The following is a 26,897-nucleotide window of genomic DNA, read 5'->3' on the forward strand; positions in this document are numbered from 1 at the left end:
GCTCCTCTCGCCTCCTCCTATGCTGGTGGGATGAGGGGCTGTATCAAGTCACGGCATTCCTTTGTGTCATCGTGCTCTTCCATAATGACCCCCACGCTGGGACTAGGTCCATCTTTTCGAAGGAGACCCAAGGGCTTGAGAGTCACGGGACAGACCCCACAGTATGGAGTGCCATGTGGTTTTCTCCCCATGAGCCCCCCAGTGTGGGCTGCTGTTTTGATTTTAAGGATACAAAGAGCGGTCTGATAGCAGCGTTATTTATAATAGAGAAAAGCTGGAAGCAACCCACGTGTCCCTGGATGGATGAATGGATGGACGACATGGGGTCTCTCCACACAGTGGAACATTATTAAGTATTAAAATGGAAAGGAATGAAGCCGGGTGCATTGGTTCATGCCTGTAATCCCAGTACTCTGGGAGGCCAAGTCGGGAAGATCACCTGAGGTCAGGAGTTCGAGACCAGCCTGGCCAATATGGTGAAATCCCATCTTTACTAAAAGTACAAAAATTAGCTGGGCATGGTGATGCACGCCTGTAGTCCCAGCTACTTGGGAGGCTGAGGCAGGAGAATTGCTTGAACCTGGGAGGCAGAGGTTGCAGTGAGCCGAGATTGTGCCACTGCACTCCAGCCTGGGAGATGGAGCAAGACTCCGTCTCAGTAAGTAAGTAAGTAAATAAATAAATAAATAAATAAATACATAAGTGAAATTCTGACACATGCTGCAACATGGATAAACCTTGAGGACATTACGCCAAATGAAATAATCCAGTCACAAATATATGAATATTGTATGATTCCACTTATATGAGGTCCCTAGAGTAGTCAAATTCATAGAGCTATTAAGTAGAATGGTGGTTTCAAGGGGTTGGGGAGAGGGGTAAATCGGGAGTTAGTGTTTAATGGGTGCAGAGTCTCAGTTTGAGAAGATGAAAAATTTCTGGATATCCGGTGGTGTGGTTGCACAAAAATGTAAATGTTCTTAATGACACTAAAATGTGCACCTAAAAACGATGAAGACAGTAAAAGGAGAGAGAGAGACAGAGAACTGACTGCATTTTTAATACAAGAAGCCTCAATATTTAGACTTCCAATAGAACTCAAAATATCAGCCCTGGTGATAAAAGAAGAAACCAAAATGAATGGCAAAGCAACAAGGCCAGCAAAATGAATCCGGATGTGGGCCAGGCTTAGCTCCACCTCATGCTGAAGTCCCTGGCCTGCGACAGCCTGAGCCCTGCCCAAGGCCCCTACAAGCCCAAGGGACAACTCCGCAGCCCCCGCAGCCCGGCTTCTGCTCTGTGTGCACACAGCACACATGTGAATGCTGCACCTCTCGGAGCCTCACAAAACACATGCAAACTCAGGCAAAGTCCTTTTGAGCACAGTCTGGAGTCTGGGGAAACAGAAGTGTGACAGAAGGGGTTTTCATAGCCAAAATGTAAGGAATTGCAGTAAGAACTGAGTAACACCTGCGAACATTGACCCGCGCTGTCCACGTAACTGCCCCAAGACCAGCAAGCTTCACTGACGCTTCTGCTTGTCCAGCGTCTTTTCATGTCTCTGACTCTTCCATTCTTCCTCTTTACCACCGCCTCCCCGCCCCACCCCCACCACCACCACCACGTCTTCCTCATTCTCCCTAACTTTCCCCAAAAGCGGTAGATTCCTTCATTGGAATGGCGGAGCAGCTCTTGCCTCCTCTGGGGCCTCTGTTGCAGGGTTGAGCTGCGTTCCAGTGGCTCATCTTTTACACGACAATTCTCAGGGGACTCTCCCAATGTTGGTTCTGCACCTAAGAGGAATTCTTAGCAGCAGCAGCAGCTAAGAAGACACAGCGTTATTCACAGCATTCCTGGGCTACTGGGAGATACTAATAGCTGCTGGGAAAACTAGCTAGGTATCTGGGGATGGGGAGAAGATGTAATTTAGATTCATCCATATCTTACATCAAAGTAGCAGAATAAGTTCAGATAGAAAAAGGAATGAAATGCAAAAATGTTCCATAGAAGTCAATACTTGATCCAAGCTATTTAAGATTAAAAGTAATGGAAGAAATAATAAAATGAAGGTTGAGAGGCTCAGCTACATAAAAATATGAAACTCCTATATAAGTGGGCAACTTTTAAAGACAATCAGTGTATTTGGGAATAATCTATATTAAACATGACTGGTTTCTACCTTTTATATAAAGCTCAGACAAAGCAATAAAAAGAACGGTAATGTGTTTAATGTAAAAGGTGATGATTAAACAGACTGTTCTCTGCAGATGAAATAAAAATGGTTAACATAAAGCATTTCAATTTAATTTTGAAAGAAAACCAAATTCCACATCAACATGTAATTTACTTTCTGTATAATTGTCTAAAGATTTTAATGATAATCATTAATGTTAGCAAATCTGTGGTGACATGGGGAAAGAAAAGTAGTCTCAGTTTTTATAGAATTCTAAGTTTTAAGAAACCTCCCAGAAAGCAATTTGGCAATTATGATCAGAGGCCTTATGATGTTCGTTTGGATCAATTCTTCTAGGAATCTATCCTGAGTACACTCATTGAAATATTTATACCTAGCTTTTTACAATGGTGTTTTTTTTTTCTTTTTTCTCTTTCTTTCTTTTTTTTTTTTTTTTTGTAATGGAGTTTCACTCTTATTGCCCAGGCTGGAGTGCGATGGTGTGATCTCAGCTCACTGCAACCTCCACCTCCTGGGTTCACACAATTCTCCTACCTCAGCCTTCTGAGTAGTTGGGATGGTTTCTTACGTGTGAAAATCTGGCAACAATTTTAATGTCTAATAGCATTTGGATGGCTAAATTCCATAAAATGGGATATAATACAGATACTAAAAATAATGTTTTGGTAGATTTCACTGACAATTAGTCAATATTAATTTTAAATGAAATATTAAAATATTCTATATGAATTTAATATTTCTTAATAAGTAAACATGCATATATATTCATAACATATTATAACATTGTATAAATATTTTTAGCAAAAGACTGGAAAGATGCTGAGACAACTGGATATCTTGGGAAGAAAAATGCACTGTATAAAAATCACACCCAGATTTATTATAAATTTAAATGTTAAAGGAAAAATAATGAAGACTGTAGAAAAAAATCACATTTTAATGAACATGAAATAGACAAAGAGTTCTTAAGCAGGACACAAAGAGTGCTGAATCATAAAGAAAGAAATAAGATAGCATTAAAACAGTCTGAAATGAATAGAAATGAAAGCCACTTCCACAGTAGAAGAAGAGATTTGCAATACATATGTCTAATATATTAAAAATGTTTTAGATCAATAAAGAGATGAAAAGCCTAGTAGAAAAAATGAGACATTTCACAAATGAGGCTATCCAAATGTCTAATACACATGAAAAGAATGGCTAAAATGAAAAAGATGGGGAAAAACAAAGGGTCGATGATATGGTTTGGCTGTGTCCCCACCCAAATCTCATCTTGAATTCCCATGTGTTGTGGGAGGTACCTGGTGCGAGGTAATTGAATTGTGGGGGCAGGTCTTTCCCATGCTGTTCCATGAGAGTGAATAAGTCTCACAAGATCTGATGGTTTTGAAAAATGGTAGTCTCCCTGCACAAGCTCTCTCTTTGCCTGCTGCCATCCACATAAGACGTGACTTGCTCCTCCTTGCCTTCCACCATGATTGTGAGGCTTCCCCAGTCACACACTGTGAGTCCAATTAAACCTCTTTCTTTTGTAAATTGCCCAGTCTCAGGTATGTCTTTATCAGCAACGTGAAAATGGACTAATGCAGTTAATAAGAATGTAGATTGAGCTGCCAGCAGGATCATGTACTGTTGGTGGGAGTGTAAATTGGTGCAACCACTTGGGAAAACTATTTGGCCATAGCTACAAAAGTTGATTACAGGTGTAATTAGCTATGTAATTTGTAACTACATAGCTATGTAATTTGTAATTCCCACACTGTTCTTATGATAGTGAATAAGTCTCACAAGATCTGATGGTTTTGAAAAATGAGTCTCCCTGCACAAGCTCTCTCTTTGCCTGCTGCCCTCCATGTAAGATGTGACTTGCTCCTCCTTGCCTTCCGCCATGATTGTGAAGCTTCCCTAGTCATGTGGACTTATAAGTCCAATTAAACCTCTTTGTAGGCTATGTAATAGTGATGTAATCTGTAATTACACCTGTAATCAGCTTTTGTAGCTATGGCCAAATAGTTGTGTGGTACCAGTCCATGGCCTGTAAGGAACAGGGCTGCACAGCAGGAGGTGAGCAGTGGGCAAGTGAGCATTACCATCTGAGCTCTGCCTCCTGTCAGTTCTGTGGCAGCATTAGATTCTCATAGGAGCGTGAACCCTACTGTGAACTAAGCATGCGAAGAATCCAGGTTGCAAGCTTCTTATGAGAATCTAATACCTGATAATCTGTCACTGTCTTTCATCCCCCCACCCCTAGATGAAACCATCTAGATGGGGGAAAACAAGCTCAGGGTTCCCACTGATTCTACATTATGGTGAGTTATATAATTATTTCATTATATATTACAATGCAACAGTAATAGAAATAAAGTGCACAATAAATGGAATGTGCTTGAATCATTCCAAAACCATCCCCACCTGGTCTGCGGAAAAATCGTCCTCCATGAGACTGGTCCCCGGTGCCAAAAAGCTTGGGGACTGCTGCTTGTAGAACATTGAGAATAAACAAACTGCAATGGCTTGCCAGGGTGTGGGTGAGTCTCAGAAACATAACGTGGCATGATTGCATTTATATATAGTTCAGACCAAAGCTACAGTGATCGCAGCTACCCCTGGGGAGGGAGGGATGACAATAAGGAGGCTTGGAAAAGCTTCCAGGCGCTGCTGAGGCTGTGTGTTCAGCCTGGCACTGATTGCACAGGTGCATTCAACTTGAGAAAATTGATCAAGCCAAGCTGTGCTCTTAGGACCTGTATCTTTTTTATAGGTAAATTCCACTTTAACATTTGTTTTTTAAAAAAGAGAAATAAAGCCTGGAAGGTATGTAAGTAGTTATAATCTGTGGGTTATGGAAGATTCTTCTTTTTTTCTTTATGTCTATGTTTTCTAAAATGAGCCTCTATTACTTCCATTGTCAAACAGTTTTCTTTGGTTTTGCTTGTTTTGAAATCATTCCTGCTGCCTTCATCAGAGCAGGCTCTGTGATATGTCAGAGCCACTGGCCCACAGCGGGAAGAGCTTCCTGTTCTAGGAGGAGGCCTACTCAGTAATTTTGCTCCTCATAATCTGAAACCAGAACTTAAACTCAGGGCACATTTCCAGAAACTGACAGGGCTGACAGTCCTCCAGTGTTCACTACTTTCTTCCTGGGGCAGCAGCCAGGTGTGTTGTCCCAAATGCCATCTTTTCCAGTGCAGGCTCTGACCGTGAGAGAAGCATTCAAAAGCACAGCAAGTCTGCGAAGTCCAGGATGGGATCCTCATTGCTCAGTTCTCCTCTTAACAGCCTTCCAGCCTAGGCGATAGGGCAATACCCCCTTCTACACAAAATACAAAAATCAGCCAGGTGTGGTGGCATGCACCTGTGGTACCAGCTACTTGGGAGGCTGAGGTGGGAGGATCACTTGAGCCCAGGAGACGGAGGTTGCAGTGAGGGGTGATCTCACCACCGTACTCTAGCCTGGGTGACAGAGTGAGACCCTGTCTCAAAAAAACCAAAAAGGAGTGAAGTGTCCTTTGTGAACTGGAAAGTGCCAAGGAGAACTGGAAGGAGGCTGATTGTACACCTACTCCAAATACGGCTTGTTTAACTGTCAGTCACCTCGATGTCCCAAAGGGAAAGAGACTCTTCTGAAGATGCTGATGTTGGCACATGCATTTAAGGTGAGCACCTTACTTACACTTCAGTCAACAACATGCTTACCTAACACATTCTGTGATCAATATGTTCGTGGTCTCGATATTAGACCAAGTGACTCAAACTGGCTTATTTATCATGGCACCTAAAAAAAAGAAAACAGAGATGGGTGTGACATTTAGGCAATATTTGATCTTAACTCTGTCTCTATTTCTTTGCCATTTTCTCAGCCCTGCCCATCTCTCTGTACTTGCCACCTCCGACATCCACGATTGGAAGATGGCAGCAGTCACCAAGTCTACACGTGTCCTCATTCACCTCCATAAGATTTGAGTCAATTGGAACACTCCTGAACCAACCCCATATCCCAGAGAAAGGCAGGCTCTGATTAGCCAAGGCCTAATTGACCTGCCCTATCCACTGTACTGGGAATAGGCTTGTCCAGTCAAGGAATTGGGGATGGAGTTGCTCTTCCCAAAACTCCACAGCTGCTGAATTGACACAAGGAGGTTGGGATGGCAGGTCCTGGGAGGCCACCCTGCAGTTCATTTCACCTCTTAAGTATGCAAAGGAAAAAGGAGACATGGTTGTTTGATTTCAGGCTTTTTACAGCATGAATTTGGAGTTTGTCACCTTAAGAAAAGGAAGATCACAAAAGGACCTTTTTTTTCTCCGAGAACCTTCTAAGGGTCCTTTTAAGATATACACACTGGACATCTACTTTGTGCTGGGCACTGTATGAAATCCTGGAGGAGAAACATGAAAAGGGTAGACTTGACCTTGAGGGGCTCTGGAGCTTTCTCCTCTCCTTGGTCCTACCCCAACCCCTCAGGGTCCATGTGAGATGAGAACATCTTAGAGGTGGAAGCAGCAGGTACAGGAGCTTAGCTGCAGGGCTGGGGTGCAGAAGGACTGTCTTGGAGTGCCCCCAGCTTGGGTGGTGGGGGACATCTTTCCCTCCTTCTTCTGAGGCTGTGCCTAGAACCTGGATGGAGTAAGCAAGCTCCTGCCACCATGTTCGGAATTGGCAGTCTTACCTGGTCCCAGAGGACAGGGAGACCTGGGGAGTTTCCCTGTTCCAGTGGGGAGTTAGGCATGAGCAGGGCGGGAGACGGCTGCCCTCCACACACACACCAGGAATGTCAGGCAACCTTCAGGTGATGGACAGGCAGTTGTTATGCTGTCTCTCTAAAATAATAATTTATCACAGCCAATGCCAGAGAAAGACAGTCTCCTAACAGATGAAAACACCGGAAACTGGTGATCAGCAGCTTCTTGATAATATCTCAAGAGTTGGGCGAGTGGGCTCAACCATGCGCCTTAAGAGGCAAAATGGTGGAGTTAACTGGTCTATGACCTTCCGGGGACATTTGACTGGTAAGGGAAGAGCGTCTCAAGTGAGCATGCGCACAACTCCAGTGAACACACTGTGCATGCTCCCTCCCAAGTGCTGGCAGGCCACTGTGCATGCAGACAGCCCACCCCAAGGGAAGAATCAGGGGAGAAGGGATGCAAGACCCCAGAAGCATGCCAACGTATAAAACCCCGTCAAAGATCAACAGTGCACTTGATCTCTCAAGTCACCTGCTTGGCCCTCTTCCAAGAGTACTTTCCTCCCTTTCCTTCCTGCTCTAAAGCTTTCTAATAAACTTTCACTCCTGCTCTAAAACTTGCCTCAGTCTCTCCTTCTGCCTTATGCCCCTTTAGTCAAATTCTTTATTCTGAGGAGGCAAGAATTGATGTTGCTCCAGACCATGTGGATTCACCACCAGTAACACCCTGGGTCATCCTTTCTCACTGTAGTCCTCTCAGAACGACCATCTGGCTCCCCGTTCCCTCTGCTCTGCAAAAGGCAGATTTGAGCTTCAAGGACTGGGAAAAGGAGGAAGCCGTTTGCTTTGGGAAGGACTGTCCCCTGCAGCCTGCCTCTGATTGTCTTCCCTCCAAGTGACCTCTCCTTTGAAAAGCACAGGCCTTTTCCAAGGTCTGGGAAAAATAGTCAAGAAAAGCTCAGGAATGCCTTCTCTTAGGAGTCGACCTTTCCGCCTTTCATGTGGTTAAAGAATTCCCCTTTGAGGGTCCCCTTGTGTAAACCCTTTAATTGCGTAGCTAATACAAACCAGAGCAGAAATGATTCATCCAAGAATTCTTGTTTGGATTCATTACCATTTTCAAAGTGTCCCTCTTTTATCTTGTCTCGGATCAGCTGAATGATGCCCGTGTTTAAAAAGGGCTTAGCAGAAGAGATAACACATTATCACTTCTTCTCAGCCTAGTGTGGTGGAAGGAGGTTTACTCTAAAGATAATTAAATCTTAACTCCCAATGGGTGAGGAAACCCAGACTTCCGTGAAACAGCTTCTACCCTGCTTGAGGGCCCCACACAGCTGGGATGCCCCAGAGGTCAGAAAGAGGGGTCTTCCCACAGCATCACCCCACTAAGTGGTGAGTCAAAAAGGGGCAAGTGATAGGGTTTCTTGTTTCAAAATGGAACCGGATCCCAGTATAGATAACGTGCTAAGAGGTTAGGAATCTTCCTACTAGAACTGTGGATTAGCTTGGCTTGACGACAGTAGAAGCAAGATATTATCTGTGTCTGACAAGACTACAGAGAGGTAATCAATAGTCCACACTGGGTGTGGCAGGCACAGAGATGTGTGGGGAGCTCAGATTCCCCTTCACGCTGTGAGGAGTGTGGTTAGCCAACAGCCTCCAAATGAAGATGACAGCTCATAAATCACCCTCAGCTTTGAAGCTAAGATCATATTATTCTTGGGGTGGCTTCAGTTGGTGACTGAGCAAGACTTCCTGGCCACCTCCACCTGACACGGGAGTCTTTGAACAAGGAAGCTTCACTCCAAGCTTACTGTTGGGGAGGTGGAGGCTCTGTCAGGTCCACCACTGTGTGATGGCCCCTCCCATTCCATCCTTCCTCCTCCCTTTTCCTTTCACAGCCATTATCTCCAGCAAACCAATCTCTCCTAACTCAATTTCAGCATTTCACATGCCCAGATCCCCATTCACAGAGCTCCCATGCATCCATCCACCAGTCCCTGAGGGGCTGCATCTTGGCCCTGCTGGAGCTACTATGTAAAAAACAGAGATCCACTTGGGGTGGGGGCTGGATCTTGGAGGGCAGTTTAAGGAATGGCAAGAATGATGCAGAGTGCTGGGAGAAGAAGAATCTTCCTGGAATCGGTCCCTACCAAGATGTCCCTTCCACTATATCAATTCCTAGAGACCGTTAGCCAAGGAATAGGGTCACTATTTTATGGAACAGAATGCCGTCCCAGGGACACTCCCTTAAGGGAGGCTGCATCTGAAAATGTCTTGTCAGTTTCAGAGTGTACGGTGTCTATGACAAGCCACGCTGAGCATGCTTCTCAGGACGGAGACATATCCAGAACTTTCACAGCCCAGAAATCCCAGACTAAGCCAAAGATTCCACACTGGATCTTCATCAGACAAAGCCTTGAAGAACAAGGAAGATGCTTCTCATCACCCAGTTTTGTCTGCTTCAGCTCCAGACATAACCAGGATGCACTTCCCCAAGGCTCAGGAATGGGACAGTATCCAGCTACCCCCAGCCCTGCATGTGCAGGGTCAGCAGTCCCTCTGTCTAGAGGAGCCAGGAGTCACGTTAGTCCTGGCTAACGGCAAACTCAACAGTATTTCCATCTTTTGTCTTTGTGTAAGAGCTAGAGATACCTGCTTGCTCCTGTAGCTTATCCTATGAAAATTCTAAGCCTGTCATTTTCTCTAAAAAGTATCCTAGTAGCTTCTTTATCTGTTAATGCAAAACATAAGACACCTCTAAATGATGTTTTGAGGACTTAGTAATGTAAAACATTTGTTACAGGGATTTTATTTAATTTTTTTGGTAGCTTAGTTCATTTATTTTCCATTTGTTAGTAATTTCTAATACATGAATTTAAGGCCATGTTTTTCTCTGAATCTCCATCTAACGGACTTGGATGTATACGTCTCTCATCATCCTTCATTTCTAAGGCATTTGTAATGTCAATTTAACTTCATCTTTAATTCAAGTTATTTAAAAGTGTGTTTGTGGTTTTGTTTTCAAGAGAGTTTTAAAACTGACATGCAATACAAGAATACTTTGAAACCAGGTTTTTCTAGGCTTAACCCTACCTCTGAATCTAACCCTAACACAAAGCTTGACCCTAACTCACATTTCTTGAGCTTGATTCCAGAGAAAAGAAGACCTAACTGCTCTTCTATCCACTGACATTTTTGCAAAGCGTTATGGATTGTTTGTAATCTGGCATGTCACCCTACGAAAATATGCTTCAAAACCAAAAACATAATGGTTTTGTTTTATTTTTATAGTGGGTGGGTTGCAAAAGGCCAGAAGGAAATTCTGTTTTCTAGACTGCTTATTTTACTTGGAAAGGGAAAATGCCTCTCTAATGGCTGTCCTTGAAGGCAGTCAAAGCCAAGAAAAAGCATTGCCAAGTTTAAGAGTAAATATTCCAAAAAGTAATATTAGCAAATTATTTTCAGGAACAAAGCCCACTACCACCATAATTATTTATTAAGGTTTGGGGGCCTTGGTCATTGTAACATTGTAACTATAGAGGAAACCAAATAAAATGAATGCATACGGTAAAAGGAGAAAAATACTCTTCACAGATAACAATAATTGAAAATATACAATTATTTCAAAGCAGCTTAAGTGACTTTAAAAGACAAATATGGAAAAACCAATAGCACCTGAGTATTGATCTTATTCACAATAGTATCAAAAATATTATAAACATAGAAGTGATTTTGAGAAAATGTGCAGAATGTAAATAAAACCTCCAAGGTCTATAGGAAGTCATAAAAGACATCCATTTGAGAAAGGAAAACTATTTCTAGATGTACAGATGAATAGTCCAAATAGACTTTTTATGAATTTGGCAAAAATAATTTTGAAATTCACCTGAAAGAACAATTGACATAGACTTCCAAAAAGATTGCTTGAAAAGTAAGAGTTAAGAGGGAAGAAGTTTGCAGTCCCAGCAAATATTAAAATATATTTTAAGAAGAACATTCATTAAAACCTTAGAATATTGGCTTAAAATATGACAGAGAGAGACTAAAGGAATGCAATGAAGAAACCTTGAGCTAAAGACAATCATATACAGAAATACAGACAGTCACATGTGGAACTTGACATTTTCTAGTAGCTGCATTTAACAACAGTAAAAATAAATAATTTTAATAATATATTTGATTTAACCTAATATATCAAAATGACATCATTTTAACATGTGATCAATTGAAAAAATTATTTATTTTATTTTTTGAGACAAGGTCTTACTCTGTCACCCATGCTGGAGTGCAGTGGCGCGATCACGGCTCACTGCAGCCTTGACTTCTTGAGCTCAAGTGATCCTCCCACTTCAGCCTCCCGAGTATAGGTCCACAGGCACACACCATCACACCCAGGTAATTTTTGTATTTTTGGCAGAGACAAGGTTTTGCCAGGCCCAGGCTGGTCTCAAACTCCTGAGCTCAAGCAATCTTTCCACCTTGGCCTCCCAAAGTGCTGGGATTTATAGTTGTAAAGCCATGGCGCCAGGCCTTGAAAAAAATTATTTAATATTCACACAATACTTTACATTCTTTTTTTGTACCAAGTTTTGAAATTTGTACTATCCACATATTTAATAGCCACATGTGGCTAGAGGCTATGACCTCCTTACAGCATAGATTACAGGTAGGGAATGCTATATGTTATTGAACAGGTATCAGGAAAGCCATGGAGAAGGAAATAGATATTTAATAAATGACATATGTCCTTATAATGACTTGTAAAATGCAGAAATGTATCTCGATGAGTTAAACCCACACCATAGGTCATCTGACAAAGTAAGATCTAGATGGAGTAAATCAAACTATTTTAAAAACTAAAAAGCAGAAAAGCTTACAGTAAGCCAAGCAGTGTCACAACTTGAGTGGACCTGGATGGGAGTCCTGCTGGTTCCAGGAAAAACAGGCCTGCGGAGAAGGAGGAGAAGGTGGGGGCATCAGACACTGTGGAGGTGAGTGGCCTGTGTGTGGGCAGAGCCTGGGAAAGACGGCCAGGGGTCCAAGACCCGGGAACCAAAGGCCCAGAGGCCAATTCTAGAGTGATTCAGACAGCGGGTGGGATCAGGCAGGCCTGGTAGGCTGAGGCAGTGGAGCAGAAGTTTCCAGGCACTAGTCCAATTTGGAAGTGCAACAGGGTGTTGGCCACTGTTGGGTAATCTATCCACAGTAGACAGGTCCCCACCCATGGAAGCTCCACCAAGGACAGCTGGAGTCGAGCCTGGGGGAGAAGGTCTTGGTGAAGTCGGGATGTCCAAAGAACCATCAGGGTCGTGTGTGCAGCTCCAATCGCAGCGGGAAAGTGAGATCTCAGAGGCCGCAGACACACAGTGCTGTCAAGTGGGAGAACAAGGGGACCAATAACTGCAGGAGTGGAAGACGCTGCCATGGGCTGAAGAGTGTCCCCCTCAAAATTCACGTGTTGAAGGCCTAAGCTCAATACCTCCCACGCGACTGTATTTGTAGACAAGGCGTTCAAAGAGGGAACTGAAGTTAAATCAGGCCATTGGGCTGGACCCACTAAGAGGAAATTTGGACACAGGTGGAGAGGGATGATCATGTGAAGACACAGGGAGGTCGGCCATCTACAAACCCAGGAGAGAGGCCTCGAGAGAAACCCACCCTGTCACATTCTTGATCTCAGACTTGCAGCCTGCAGAATCCTGGAGAGAATAAATGTCTGTTGTTGGAGCCACACAGTCTACAGTGCTTCATTACGGCAGCCTGAGCTGACTCTACAGATGCTGAAACTGCAGATTGCACCAGTGAGGCCCTCGTCCCCACAGCGCCACGGTAGACTCAGGCCTGGTGTGCGGACCCGCCCATGCGGCTGGGGCGGGCGAACCACTCAGGAGCCTCACCCACTGTGTCCTGTGCAAACCGCTTGCCCACTGGGGGATTGGGAAGTCATGTTGAATCCGTGCCTGGAAAGACTCCACTCGACTCGGTGGAAGATGGGACCCAATGATAGAGTTGCCAGATAAAATACAGGACACCCAGTTACATTTGAATGCCAATAAGCAACGTTATTATTATTATTTTTTTAGTGTATGTCTCAAATATTGCAGGGGGCATGCTTGTTCTAAAAGTTATTTGCTATTTATCTGACATCCAAATATAACTGACTATCTTACCATTTTATTCGCTAAATTGGACAACCTTGGCCAAAGGATAAGGAAAGGGGCCCAGCCCAGCAGGTGTAGCAAGGAAGTGAAGAGGAAGATAGTGGGGGAGCCCTGACCCGGGCGGTGGCGGGGGTGTTCACCAGAACCACCCAAGGGAGAGGACTTTCTGAAGACAGAAGTAAAAGACAAAAGTCAATGAAATGTTCAACAGATTTAACAACATCAACATTTTATAACTAACATTAAAAGAAAAAAGAAAAAATAACAGACTGGGAGAACCATTTCACCAATCTGAAAAAGCCGGTATGAATATAGAATACTCATTTCAACTGGTAAGAAAAATATCAAAATCTCAGTAGGCAAATAGGGAAAGGATGTGATAAATAATTTGTACAGAAGGACCTACAATTACCAAACAAATTTGGAAGAGTATTTTTGTCCTTTTAAGAATTTTTACATGAAAATTCTTAAAAAATTAAGAATAAACTTTCACTTCTAAAAAATAGGACTTAAAAATTTAATTACTTAGTGAGAATGAGAATGTGGTTCCACTGATAAGATGACCCTTCTGGTGGTGGAAACTTAGCAATGTGCTAAGTGGAATTTCTTAGTGGAAATTTAGCAATATGCTTATACTTGTTGACCCAATAAAATAATTCCTGGGTTTTGTCCGAAGAGTAATGATTTAAAATAAAGACAGGAAAAAGGATAAGAAATAGTGTATTATTCCATTACGCTGACTATACAATTATGAATACACTTGAACAATAACTGGAAAGAAATACACACACAAAAAAGCATTCGATGTGAATATATTCTTCTCTTTAAGGTTCCCTTGGGTCATTAGCATATTTTTCTTTTAGAATTACCAAACATTAAAGTAAAAAAGCAGTTTCTTTTTTTCTCACAAAGACTAAGGTGTGCCGTCAGAATTCCACCTGGCTCGTGACCTGGGGATGGTGGGAGGGTTGGCCATCAGAAACTCTTAGACCAGCTCAGGGAATAATTCCCTGAGCCTTCTTTTCTACTTGACATCAGAGTCTGTAGGTCCAAAGCTTTGCTGGCTATCCAGGCCTTTTAAACAGGTACTCAAAAGCCCTAAAGACTTTCTCTGGCCAAAGGTTCAATGCACTACAGGATATTTCCATTCGATGAGACAGTAATTTTTTTTTTTTTTTTTTTGAGATGGAGCCTCGCTCTCTTGCCCAGGCTGGAGTGCAGTGATGCGATCTCAGCTCACTGCAACATCAGCCTCCCAGGTTCAAGTGAGAACCTGCCTCAGCCCCTGAGTAGCTGGGATTACAGGCATGTGCCACCATGCCCAGCTAATTTTTGTAGTTTTAGTAGAGACGAGGTTTCACCATGTTGGTCAGGCTGGTCTCAAACTCCTGACCTCGTGATCCGCCTGCCTCAGCCTCCCAAAGTGCTGGGATTACAGGTGTGAGCCACCATGCCCAGCCAATATAGTGATTTTTATTTTATAGTTTTTTTAACCGGGTATATTAATGTCTTGCACTCACTCTTCACATTGTCGTCTACTAACCGAAAGCCAAAACCTGAATAAACTATTGTGGTAACAGCCTTTGCATGATCGGGGGTAATAACTCTTTGCTGTCACTATACCATTTTCCAGCACCTAGGAGGAGCAGGAGATGGTCTGCTCAGTTGCCCCTGAAGTGTCTGGGTTCTGGTTCTAGAACAGACAGCACAGATCACAGGAGAAGGACACTTCATCACGGGTCAGTCCAGTGGATGCTATGACTGCTGGGAGAGAGGGGTTTTAAATATGAAGAATTGAGGTCAATATCAAAAACCGTTGGGTTGGATTTTCTGAGGCTCACAAAGCTTCTCCCAGCCCAAACTTGGGAACAAGAGACCACTCCTGTATCAGTTTGCTAGGCTGTCATCACCAGATTCCGCAGACTGGGTGGCTTACACAACAGACACTGATTTTGTCACAATTCTGGAGGCTGGAAGTCTGAGAGCAAGGCATTAGCAGGGCTGGTTTCTCCTGAGGCCTCTCTTCTTGGCTTGTAGATGCCACCTTCTTCCTGTGGCTTCATATGGCCTTTCCTTTGTGTGTTCGTGTCCTCATCTCCTCTTATAAGCACACCAGTCACATTGGATTAGGGCCCATCCTAACAGCCTCGTTTTAGCTTAGTTATTCCTGTAAAGACCCTATCCCCAAACACAGCCACATTCCAAAGTATTGAGGGGTTAGGACTTCAACATGTGAATTTTGGAGGGGACACAGTTCAGCCCATAACAATTCCTGAGGTCAGAAGAGAACTTCCCCGTTATTGGCTGCAAAGCTGCATAGGCATATATATATATATATTTATTTATTTACAGGATCCTAACTTGTCCTGTAAGCAAGAGAGTCATCAAACCTTACACGAACCCTCAAGACAAATGTGCTAGAAGATCCTGACTAAACTGTCTGGGTAGTCTGAGAGCAGCACCATTTTATCGTAGGATTCCTGAGATTTTCGGTTCAAACCTGAGAGTGCCCCTTGGGAAGGGAAACCCCAGCACACACAGGCCTCTGATGTTAGCCCGGCTCAGTGCCCACAAGCACATCTCCATCTCAAGGGCCTTTGCCCCACGAGGGCCAGGGTGAAGTCTCCTTGTTTCAGCACCCCCAGGGACGCTGGGTGATGACTTTTCTCTCTGCCTTCCTTGGGGCCAGGTCTGGAGGCCCAATGCCACCTGTATTCGACCTGCATAGGGGGCTGTGAGTGTCATCTTCCCTGGGTCCAGGGCCACATTTATGTTTTCTTTGTATTGCCACAATGCATCTTAATTCCCATCTGCATTCTCAGCTAAGGCGAGGCCCACCCCAGCACATCACCTCACCCTGATGGGCTCCCTGGCCTCTGATCCCTGCACAGTTGGTGTCCTCCTGTGCCTCTGGGACATGTGGGATGGACCCAGGCTGCTCCCCTCTGCGCTCGCCTTCCTGAGCTCTCCCACTTCCAGGGGCCCTGAGCGTGCTCTTAGGCTAGTGTGACATCATTCATGACAGCAGAGTGAGAGTTCAGATTCATTGTCTTTTCTTTCATGCACTTTATCTTTCAGCCATGTCAAGAGCTGGTTTGAAATGCAAGGTATGGTAGGAAAAATCTGTTCAGCTATCTCTGGAACAAATAGAAGGAATTGTGCACTTTGACAGCCACGTGTAGGTTCTTTTGATGTCCAGCACCTTCCTCCCCTTCAGGGTGTGAGGCTGGCACACCTCTATTTGGGACACATCAGTGTACATTGATCTATTAAAACCCATTGGGCTTAATGTGGCTCAGGCAACAAATGCCTCAAGCACACTGCAGAGTTTGTGCACAGCCTATTGTCGAAGTGGGATTACACCGTGGGGTGGATACCTCTTTCAGAGGAGACGTAGCCAACTCTAGTGGGTGTTTATTCTCAGAAGAGGTCAATAGATGTTATGAAACACTTGCAGCTGGGGGAAGAGATTCCAAAACATGTGGCAAGCAGCACGGCTCTCTCTGCCTGTTGGTATCACGGGGCAGGACAAGGCATCCATCCTTCTGGACAGCATATGTATGATAGAAAATAAAGTCACCCTGTTTGTTCTTAGCACAGTCTGAGCAAGACTGAAGAAGATCCTCTGAGAATCAAACTGAGCAGATGGCTCAGGGTAATGTTATTTGACTTCCTCTAGGGCCACCCCAAGAAGTTCAATACAACACCATCAGTACAGCTCTTCTTGACTGTCACTTTATCACGGATTTGAAAAGCAACTTAAAATGTTTTGCCCTATCTTTATTGGACTATAAGCTCTGAAATTATCCATAAAATTGTTCCTATCAAATGCAAGATAGTATGACCTGCAAAAGACCAGTAAAATTTCAGAACTATGTCTTTTATTAAAAGTATAAGGCAACCGAGGGTTGTCTGGCTCATTGGCTTAACTTTTTTTGTGGTCACTAAGCATTATAATTTCCAAAATGAATCCATAGTGGAAAAGTAGGGAAATAGAAAAGAATTAAAGATCTGAGCTTGGCAGGAAAACCCAGGAACAGGAAGGGGTTAGGCCCATAGGAACCAGAAGTATGGCAGGACAAAGGCCTTCAGGAAAGCTCATCACGTCTGCTAGACAAAACTGCATGGGGGAATTACCTGGCTGTGACACTGTAGGATAGGTATGCAAGATGATACCACGCGGGGAAACTGGGCGAAGAGTACCTCGGCTCTCTCTACAGTACTTCTTACAATTGCATGGGAATCTTCCATTATCTCAAAGTAAAAGGTTTAATTTAAGAAAAACTGCACAGGCAGTGGGTGTACGGTTCATCCCAGTCCCTTCCCTGCCACCTGTGCATCTCTTGCTCCATCTTCAAGTTCTTAGGAAAAAGAGAGCGTTGTTAGGAGTGTAGGAGAGGCTGGACCCCTTCAACCCCTGTGTCTCTGGCTCATCGGTTAGCCATGCTGGTTGGAGAGAACTGTCTTGCAGGGATGGCTGCACCTGAGGCCGTGTTTTTGACCTGGCATCCTCCCCTTCCCAAGGTAACCTGCTGATGAGGACTCATTGCCAGCGGGCACGAATGCTGTACAAACAACACCTGTTCTCACATCTTAAAAAAGGATCACAGAAGTTTGAGACGCAGCCACCTAGATGGGAGACACACTGACAGCATGATCCCAGCACTCCCAGAGAAAAGAAAAGACCCCAAATGTGGAATATTCGTATTTCCTGTGGGGATTGTGAAGGGAGATCTTGGAATGTGAAAGCAGCCCATTGTTCAAGCTCAGCACAGATCCCAGTGAGGATCTGCATACAGTAGCAACTCAATAAACATTGCATTTGAATGAATGAATGAATGAATGAATGAATGAATGCTGGATCCCACAAAGCTGTCTTTAAATGCATCTCTAAAAAGAGGCTAGAAAGAAAAGTCTTTCACAGTTCAGAGGCCATTGTATCTTACTGTTTCCCCATAACTTGGGCCTTTGTGATCCGACAGAACTTTTAGGTCAATGCTTGCAGTCAAGAGGAAGGTGAGTACCACCTCCTCACTGAGGATACCTTTTTACAATTGGAGGGGTGGCTTCAATAGGCATCCAGTCTGGTACCCATTGTCACTAAGGATGCCTCAATCTTAATTGCATAAAAAAGAAAACAGCTGTGTTTGCAGTCATCTCCCAAAATGCAAATGCTCAATTCTAAATAAATGCTTTCACAGGTTAAGTTGTGCAGTCTTGGGGCTACATCTCACAACTAACCCCTCCCAGCAGATCCTGAGGGACCTTGGGGGTCAGGAACAGATAGGCATCCGTCTCTTTCTCTGGGGTTCCTCCAGAGCTGAGGCTGGTCACATGTGGTACCTGCTCCCCATTTTTTTAGGATAAAATGCTCTGTCTGAGACTGTTAAAAAAACAGTTAACAAACTGTTAAAAAAAACAAAAAACAAAAAACTAGACAGCAGATGATGATTGACCATCCTTCAAATTCCCATCAACATTTGCTATCACAGGACATCAGGAATATTGGTTAATGGTTGGTCAGGCCCCTAGAGAGATGGCCACCAATTAAAGCAAAAGCAGTGACATAAAGAAATTCAACTCATATTATGACCTGTAAGTAGGGTGAATTATTACTAACCTACCCTTCAAGTCACCATTCACTGGTTTTGGGGAAAAATAATTCAATGTTCATTCTATTTTAATAATCAATTCCATCTGATAATTTCAAAAAAATGTTTTGCCTCTTTACTGGAGAAAATCAAAACACTATTTCTGAGATGCACGCCCTCTCTGCCTGGAGTTTGTTCCAAGATGCTCCTCCCACGTGTAAGAGGAGTGATGTTGCTTGTGTGGACCTGTGCTTGGAGGGGTGGGGCTGATGGTCCCTGAGCTTGGAATTTTTGGTGGCTGTGTTGCAGGAAAGGCGGTCTCGATCCAGACCCCAAGAGAGGGTTCTTGGATCTCCAGCAAGAAAGAATTCAGGGCAAGTCCATACAGTAAAGTGAAAGCAAGTTTATTAAGAAAGTTAAGGAATAAAAGAATGGCTACTTCATAGACAGAGCAGCCCCGAAGGCTGCTGGTTGCCCATTTTTATGGTTATTTCTTGATGATATGCCAAACAAGGGGTGGATTATTCATGCCTCCCCTTTTTAGACCATATAGGGTAACTTCCTGTCATTGCCACGACATTTGTAAACTGTCATGTGCTGCTGAGAGTGTAGCAGTGAGCCAACTAGAGGTCACTCTTATCACTATCTTAGTTTTGATGGGTTTGGGCCAGCTTCTTTACTGCAACCTGTTTTATCATCAAGGTCTTTATGACCTGTATTTTGTGCTGACCTCCTGTCTCATCCTGTGACTTAGAATGCCGTAACCATCTGGGAATGCAGCCCAGTAGGTTTCAGCCTCATTGTACCAGCTCCTATTCAAGATGGAGTTCCTCTGGTTCACACACTTCTGACGGCTGGACGATGGCCTCTCTCCTCCTGGCTGATGCTCATCTCAATGGCATTTCCAACTGGCATAGGAGGTGTGAATGGCACAGCCTGGTTGACCAGTGTTGGACAGTGCTCTCATGAGGCATCTTGGAGCATTTGGACAGAGCTGGAGCCTGTCTGAGATGCCGATTCCCATTTTAGGACGTGGGCTCAGGAATGACACTGGCCTGCAGAACCAGCCCCAGCCTCCCAGTCTGCCTGCGCTGCATAAGAGAAAGGTTGTCTTGGGAAAGAGTGATGTAAACATGATCCAGTAAGAAAATGGCAGCATGGGGCACGGAGTGCTGGAGCGCTGGCTGTAGAGTTGTGGTTCTCACTGTGGTCGCTGGAGCATCACTCCACCTCATCTGGGAATTTGTTAGTAATGCAGATTCTCAGGCCCACCCCAGACCCTCTGAATCAGAAACTCTAAGGCGGCGGGGGGGGCCTTGAGTTAACAAGTCCCACAGACGATTCTAACGCAGGCTAAAGTGTGGGAACCACAAAGGCAATCAGCCTTCTTCAGCAGTAACGACCTGGGAACATAGGAACTTGTGGTGAGGGACTTTGCCTCTGATTTTTTTTTTTTTTTTTAGGTTCAGAACCTGTGTTCCATCAGTTTCAGTAACAATGCAGCAATAGGACAAGTTTTGATCAAACACTTTTCTGCTCCCTGTGCTCTGCTGAACGTCACCAAGGTCAGGAAGTGCGTTGTTAAATGCTCACCCTGTGTCTGTTAAAATGTAACCCCCAGGGCCTCAGGCCCCTCCCAGGAAGGAAGATGGGTGACCCCACTGGAGCCTGGCTTTCAGAGAGGTGGGGCCAAACGGAAACCTATAAATCCATTTCCAGAAAGTCCAAAGTCCCCATCTGTTTTAAATGAACATACGTTTTTAGTGACAGAAGACCTCTCCTTGAGCCCAGGGTTGAGAGGGTCAGAAGGAGGAAGGTTTGCTCTGGAAATCTGTGTCCTTCCAAAGCCTGGCTGTCAGCATTTGGGCAGCTCCTGAAGGGCATCTGTCCACCCGAAGCAAGGCTGGCCTGGGGGTCAGGGATCCAGACCTGGTTCCGGAGGGCTCCAGTGCCTTCATTCCTGGGCTGGGCACCCTTCCTGGAACTGGGACCCCTCCGGGTGAGTCAGCCTCACCCATGTCAACTGCATGTCCTGAACCACCTCCCCACTCCTATGGGCCTTCCCATCCCACGGTGCCCATTTGTCCTGGTAAAGACAGACTAGGGCTGCCACTGTGTCTGACTCTGCGTGGTGGAAGGGGCCCACTGCCCTGCAGCATCAGAAAGTTCCTCTTATCTCTCCCAGGTATTGGTGCTTACCTACAATTCTGCTTGCAAAGAAGAACGTTTTGAAAATCAGTTTCTATGCCCCACCTTTTAGACATTTATGGGGCTTTAGAAATAAGGTGCATCTGGCGCTGCAGTGTTACTGCAGAAACTGATTGGGGGAAGGGTTTAGGAAGGAGGAGATGCTGACACCAGAGTACAAACACGAGGTGGCTCTGCCAGTGGAAACCCCTGGATGAATGCCGTTTTCTTACAGATTGTGCCTGATCCTTCTGACCAAATGTGCACATTTGCAAAATACTGGGCTTGAGTCCGATGTGTCTTCTGGGGCCTTCTAATGAGTTAACCTAGTACATTCCCCAAGAGCCCACCCTCCCCGATTTGGCTCCAGGCTCGGGCAGAGGAGACATGCCCTGAGGACTGAATTCAAAGAGTTCATCTTACTGCTCAATTCTCAAGTAACAGAGCCCCCTTCCAGCACCGCAGCCCCTCCAGAGGCCCTGAGCATGCTCTTAGGCTAGCGTGGGTTTGAGTGTGTGTCTGAGCACCAGCTGTGGCTCCCGTAGCTGTGCCTGCCTTACCTGCTTTCCACCTGCCTTGGGCCTCCCGCCCACCCTTCCTGGGTGGGACTATGAGTTGGGACTTGTTGGGACACTAACTAAAAAGAGCTGCTTGCCACAGCCTCATGTCAAAGGACACCCCAAGCACCCTCCCTTCACCCCAACCCCTGTGTGCTCACCACACAGATGGTTGATTTATTAATAGTTCTTCCTCTAAAATGTCCCCTCCATGGAAATTCCACCTCCCTAGAAGACAATGCCTTTCTAAAGCCTGCCCCTCTGCTTTTCAGAGGACGAGATGCACACTGCCTGGGATGAAACCCTAGGATCACAGAATTATTTATTTCACTAAGCATTGAGCCATTGATTATATTAAAACAAAAATACAGACACACACATTTTTAAAGACAAAATTGAGACAACTTCAGCTTCTCGCTGGCTGCCCCCCAGCCACTCCTCCAGCTCCTGGGATCACACACACACATGCACCACCGTTGGGGATAATTTGGTGAAAAATGTCTAAAAGATTCAGGCCGACAGAAACCACAAATGTCAACAGGAACCATCCTCCGTTCTTTACAACTACACTTAGAATGCTAACCACAGACGAGGTCCTCAGGCGCTCTCCCCCCGACCCCTCACCTTTCTCCCCGTCACTCTCTCCAATTTAGTTCTTTCCTGCCTTGGCTCCTATAGGAACCAATAATTACTAGGTCTCCACAGCCTTGACTCTCCTGGAGTGAAAAGTGAGTTCTGGGCGCCATCTCGATTTTATCAGACTGGAAATCGTTTTCAGTATCAGCAGCCTTTCTCTTCAGGAAGGTGAACCAGCTTAACCACAGCTGAGCGTGGGGAGGTGGGAGGCAGACTCCCTGCGAGGCTCAACCTCGAAGGGCCAATGGCTGAGCAAAGCTCTGCGTCTGCAAACAGTGGCCTTCAAGGGTTTTCTGGGTGATTCTCAGCCTCTTTCCTGGGCTGTCTCTCTCCAGACACCTCCAACTTCCTCTCCGGGCCTTTGCACAGCCTTCTCTGTCTGCCTGGTTTCTCCTATGTGTCCTTAAGAGCCAGCTCTGATACTAGTTCAGGCCACCTCCCTTTTTAGTCCAGCTAAGCTAATCACTACTGTAACCAGGTGGTGAGCTGGCACATCTGAATCACCAAAGGGCTGATTAAAGCACAGATTGGTGGGCCACACTCCCAGAGATTCTGATTTTGTAGGTCTTGGGAGATACCTGAGAATTCGTATTTCTAATATGGAGCTCTTGGCTGCAGCTGCTTCTTGGGGACCACCCTTCAGAACCATTGCTCTAACCTTGGCTACTCAAATCGTGGTCCACGGACCAGCATCATCAGCATCACCTGGGAGCTTGTTCACAATTCACAATCTCAGACCTAATAGGCCTAATGAATCAGATTCTGCATTTGAACAAGATCCCCAGGGGATTCCAGTGCACATAAAAGATTGCAAAACACTCCTCCAAACTGAGCTTCTGGAAGACAGAAACTTTTTCTTACTTTTCTGTGTATTCCCAGTACCTGGCACAGGACTGAGTAGGATGCAAAGGCTGGGGCTGGAGCAGTCATTCTAGCCTGAGAGCAAACCCACCCTGGACAGGTCTGCCCACGTTGGTGCACATCAGACTGACCAGCACACACTCCCAGCAGGTCATTTGGCACTTAGAAGAAAGAGCAATCAGCATCTCCAATGACCCACTACCCACTAGGTTCTGAAATCTCACAAAAGCATACCATCACCTTTACACCTGGTGACTTAAAAGTCAAACCCGAGTTAGCAAAAGGAGAGTTTCCACATGTATGTTCTTACACTCTCTTTCTGGAAGGGGAGACTGACTTCCAAACCCCGGGGCAGCTGCTCATAGGACCTAATCCGGCAGGCTGCAGCTCCTGGCTGCCTGGGCTCCGACTGGGAACTCCATTTTCTATTTACAGCTTTTTCCTCATTTTGTTGTTGTTGCTGCTGAAAGTTCCTACACTTACAAACCTTTTATCTGCCAAGCCCCCGGGCTGACTATCACAGGACTGGAAGTGTGGCGGTGTGTTTGATGATGGATAAGCTCACCTCCATGCCTGCTCCCGATCATTTAGGACACAAAACTCTGTGCTCTGGAGCGAGCGTGGGCTGCCATCAGCTAAGCAGATGGATAATGTGGGAGACAGATCAGCACATCTGGCAGAAGAGGCCCAGAATTGGGTGACAATGAATGTTTTCATCTGGGCAGATGTAACAAAATCTCCTCGCTCCCTGCATGGACTACTCCTTGAGGAAGTAGCCCACGTCTGAGCAGCGTCTTGCATCAGTCACCACGCAGTTACTTCACTTCGGTGCCCTCGAGTGAGAAGTGGAGGAGGTCAACTTGATATAAAAGCTGTACAGCTAAGTTTTGCTCAGAAAGTACCTTGTAAAATAAACATATGGGTAAGGCCATTTAAAAGAGCCCATTATTATGTGTTAGATTATGGACGGAGCCCTGAGCAACCAGGAGCCAGGGCAGGGGGCTGAGTCCAGGGACAGAGGCGTTCCCAGGAGGAAGGGGCACAAACTCTGCACCTGTGATTCCAACTCATGCTCGCGTTTCAGCCGATCCGCCCCCCTCCTCTCCCCGATACTGCCCGAAAGCATTCTTTCCTATAACGTGCGTTTCCCGGGGCAGAATGTGTGTGGTGGCAGGAAATGAGGGCTGAGCGTTACCAGCTAGGAAGGGGTTTTTTGTGTTCCAACATTGAGGTCCTGGAGTTAGCTCTTGCCTCAAAACCCGGTTTCTTTTTTGCCAGCCCACCAGCCCAGGATGGGCTCACGCCGAGGCTGACGAAACCCAGTCCTGAGTCAAAAACATCTGCCTCCTGCCCGTTTTCTTTCCCAACTCCACATGGTGGGGCCTCCAGGGGCCTCGGGACCACCTCGACCGCATGTCTATGGGGTCAGATGCATCAGATACCATCGCCACCTCTGCCTTCTTATCACCAAGGCTGGCTCAGGGTGAGCCGAGCAGGAGGCTGTGGGCCTGACCTGTTGCTGCTTCCCTTATTTCATCCTTTTGTCCCCCAAAGGATGGGCCATTTGCCAAACAACAATGGAGGCTTCCCCGGGACCCTGTTTTCTTGACATTTCCCTTCTTTGGGACACTTCCCTCAGCACTCAGCCAGCAGCCCTGGAGGGTGCAAGGCATTTCACAGCAGGACAAGGGTCTTTGAGGGCAACATCTCTGTGCATTGAGGGTGCTGTATGTTTGGAGACCGACCTGGCTTTTCTCACTCTCCTAGCACTTCTAGTTTGGCTTCACCACCAACCTCCCCTGGAGACCGCTGCCTTTCTTCCAAGTTCTGGGGTCACTGAGGAAGCCGCTGCCTGTGCACTGCCCCAGCTCAGCCCCTCCTGGTACGAAGGTCATGGCATATCCATCACGACTGTAACCAGCAGATCCCTGGACTCTGCCCACAGAATTCCCCGAGCCGGGCCCTCCCTCCTCCTGACCGGGGGCAGCTCCTCCTCCCAGCCTCATCTGCTCTCAGGTTTCTCTGCTGTCTGCCTCACAGCCCCACCCCACATTCATCATGCTCTTTGAATTCAGAATTTCACTGAAATCCCCAAGGTCTTTCCTTACCATACAGCCTTAGTCACTAACTTCACAGATGTCATGAACTTCCCATTCCTCTTCTTCATGATCTCAGACAAATGTTAGCATCCAACTTTGCATTCTTACAACACAGCTATTATTTCATTATCATGATTATTCTTCATGCCACACTCTGAGGTTTGTTTCCGAATCAATAGAAGATCATAGGTTTGGCCCCTGGTGCTCACCTTGCCACGTCCACCTGGCTTTATTTTCATAGCATTATTCTTTTCTATTTGGGTAACGGGCTGGAAAACCTCCAAGTTGAGAGGCTGTGGCTTTTTCCCAAATCAGAAAGCAAGCTGAGGGTGGTAAAGGAAAAGAACCCTTTTTCTTTTAAACTTGCTTCATGGTTGAGAGGTTGTGTTGTCACATGTGTGTGAGCTTGTGCACGTATGCATTTGAATCTCTGTCTGTTTCCTTCTGATCTTGGCCATATGGCCACAGTGCCTTGGGATCAATCTGGGAAGGGATAGTGGACTCTGGTTTGGCAAACCTAACGTCCATTCCCAAATCACTTCTCTTTTTCCTGACTCCAAGAGGAGACTGAAAGAGCTAAATGCTCACTCTCCCAGTCTTTTCAGCAAGGGGCAGCCAGGGGATAAATATTTCATAAATATTCATGACTCCTCTTATACTTATTGAATATGTATATTTGGCCACCTGCTTCAGCATAAATTCCTGTCTTATTTTCTCCACCCTCAAAGTGCCTGTTTCCAGCTTCTGGCCGGAGGCTCTGCTTCCCAGCCTATCAGAATGGCCACCCTGCAGGATACAACCCTTTAGGAGAAATAAAGCTCTCCTTTCCAAATGCATGAACCTTGTCATTCTTCAGCTGACGGTAGGATTTCGGAAACTTCACAACAGAATTACATAAGTGTCTGCGGGGAGGGAGGGGAGCGACAGAGAGAATGCTGGGAGTGGGGAAGGTGAAACCACCTTTGCAAAATTATGCCAGTGAGAGAAATATGACATGCCTGACTCCATCTTGCCTCTAGCCTCACTGGCTGGATGTCTTTGCTCATTCTTGGGCGTGGGCCAAACTAATTTGGGAGAAATTTGGTTTCCAGTTTAAATAATGATAGCCCTTCCCCTAAACTCAACTTAGGGTTAGGGTTCTTGGTTTCATTAGTTCTAGGTCTCATCAGTTCTTGTAAAACTAATGAAAGACCACCAAGTTAGGAGGATGAGAAGGGCTTGAATTCTAAATAATTACCAGCCATTATTCCAAAGGTCATAAGACTTGCAACTTCCCCAATTACTCTTGCAGATAACATCACTATTGCAGAACCTATGATTGGCCTTTTGAGATGTCTTTTTAGGTTTTTGCATTTCTGACACACTGATGACCCCCACCTGGACCTGCCAACCAATCCTATGGCCCTCACCCAGGAACTGACTCAGCACAAAAGGACAGCTTCTATTCCCTATGACTGCATCTCCAACCCAACTAATCAGCCTGCCCCCTACTCCAGCCCCCTGCCCACCAAACTATCTTTGAAAAATCCCTAGCCTCCAAGCCTTCATGGAGACTGATTTGAGTAATAACTCCATCTCCCATGTGGGGTGGCCGGGCTGGCCTCACATCAATTAAACTCTTTCTTTACTGCAATGCTGTGATCTTATTATAGGAGTTATTAAGAAATTATTTTAGGCAGATAGAGAGGAAAAGGGGTCCTTGGAAAGTTTTTGTTTCTTTTAAAGCAGTTCCAGAAAAGTTTTCTTGTCTGGCAGGAAAGCCCCTGGTCTTAGAGCTGGGCTGGCAACCTTTGATATGCAAATGCAGGCCATTAGAAACTGGGTACCCCCAAACATGGAGATTCCCCCTCTCTTCTTCTTGCCCTTGCCCCCACATGTGCCTGACAGCATGGCCGCCCCCTTTTATGCCCACACGTGTAGAACATC

General features: G+C 45.5%; 1 long non-coding RNA gene across 7 annotated transcripts in view, besides 4 other annotated features; it reads right to left on the reverse strand.

Moving 5' to 3' along the window:
- COPS8-DT (COPS8 divergent transcript) overlaps nt 1-26,897 on the reverse strand; it is a 175,051-nt gene that overhangs the window by 37,244 nt on the left and 110,910 nt on the right. For 2 of the 7 annotated variants that reach the window (NR_187934.1, NR_187937.1), the window contains exon 2: nt 4,607-5,969. The exons of 1 other annotated variant lie outside the window; for it this stretch is intronic. This is a non-coding gene — a long non-coding RNA (COPS8 divergent transcript). Of the gene's footprint in view, nt 1-3,053; nt 5,970-26,897 lie in introns of those variants that run through there. 4 more of the 7 variants (NR_187936.1, NR_187935.1, NR_186114.3 and 1 more) reach the window with 2 other exon arrangements.
- Nucleotides 17,578-18,079: an enhancer, noted in NCBI's record as "NANOG hESC enhancer chr2:237874235-237874736 (GRCh37/hg19 assembly coordinates)". NCBI's record gives its function as "activates a minimal SCP1, AML or CMV promoter by ChIP-STARR-seq in primed H9 embryonic stem cells {active_cell/tissue: H9 hESC(primed)}" and the evidence as "EXISTENCE:reporter gene assay evidence [ECO:0000049][PMID:30033119]".
- Nucleotides 20,092-20,386: a silencer, noted in NCBI's record as "tiled region #9900; K562 Repressive non-DNase unmatched - State 22:ReprW". NCBI's record gives its function as "weakly represses a minimal TATA promoter and a strong SV40 promoter by Sharpr-MPRA in K562 cells {active_cell/tissue: K562}" and the evidence as "EXISTENCE:reporter gene assay evidence [ECO:0000049][PMID:27701403]".
- Nucleotides 20,092-20,386: an enhancer, noted in NCBI's record as "tiled region #9900; HepG2 Activating DNase matched - State 1:Tss". NCBI's record gives its function as "activates a minimal TATA promoter and a strong SV40 promoter by Sharpr-MPRA in HepG2 cells {active_cell/tissue: HepG2}" and the evidence as "EXISTENCE:reporter gene assay evidence [ECO:0000049][PMID:27701403]".
- Nucleotides 20,616-21,115: an enhancer, noted in NCBI's record as "H3K4me1 hESC enhancer chr2:237877273-237877772 (GRCh37/hg19 assembly coordinates)". NCBI's record gives its function as "activates a minimal SCP1, AML or CMV promoter by ChIP-STARR-seq in primed H9 embryonic stem cells {active_cell/tissue: H9 hESC(primed)}" and the evidence as "EXISTENCE:reporter gene assay evidence [ECO:0000049][PMID:30033119]".

Source organism: Homo sapiens, chromosome 2 (assembly GCF_000001405.40).
Source record: "Homo sapiens chromosome 2, GRCh38.p14 Primary Assembly".
Classification (NCBI taxonomy): domain Eukaryota; kingdom Metazoa; phylum Chordata; class Mammalia; order Primates; family Hominidae; genus Homo; species Homo sapiens.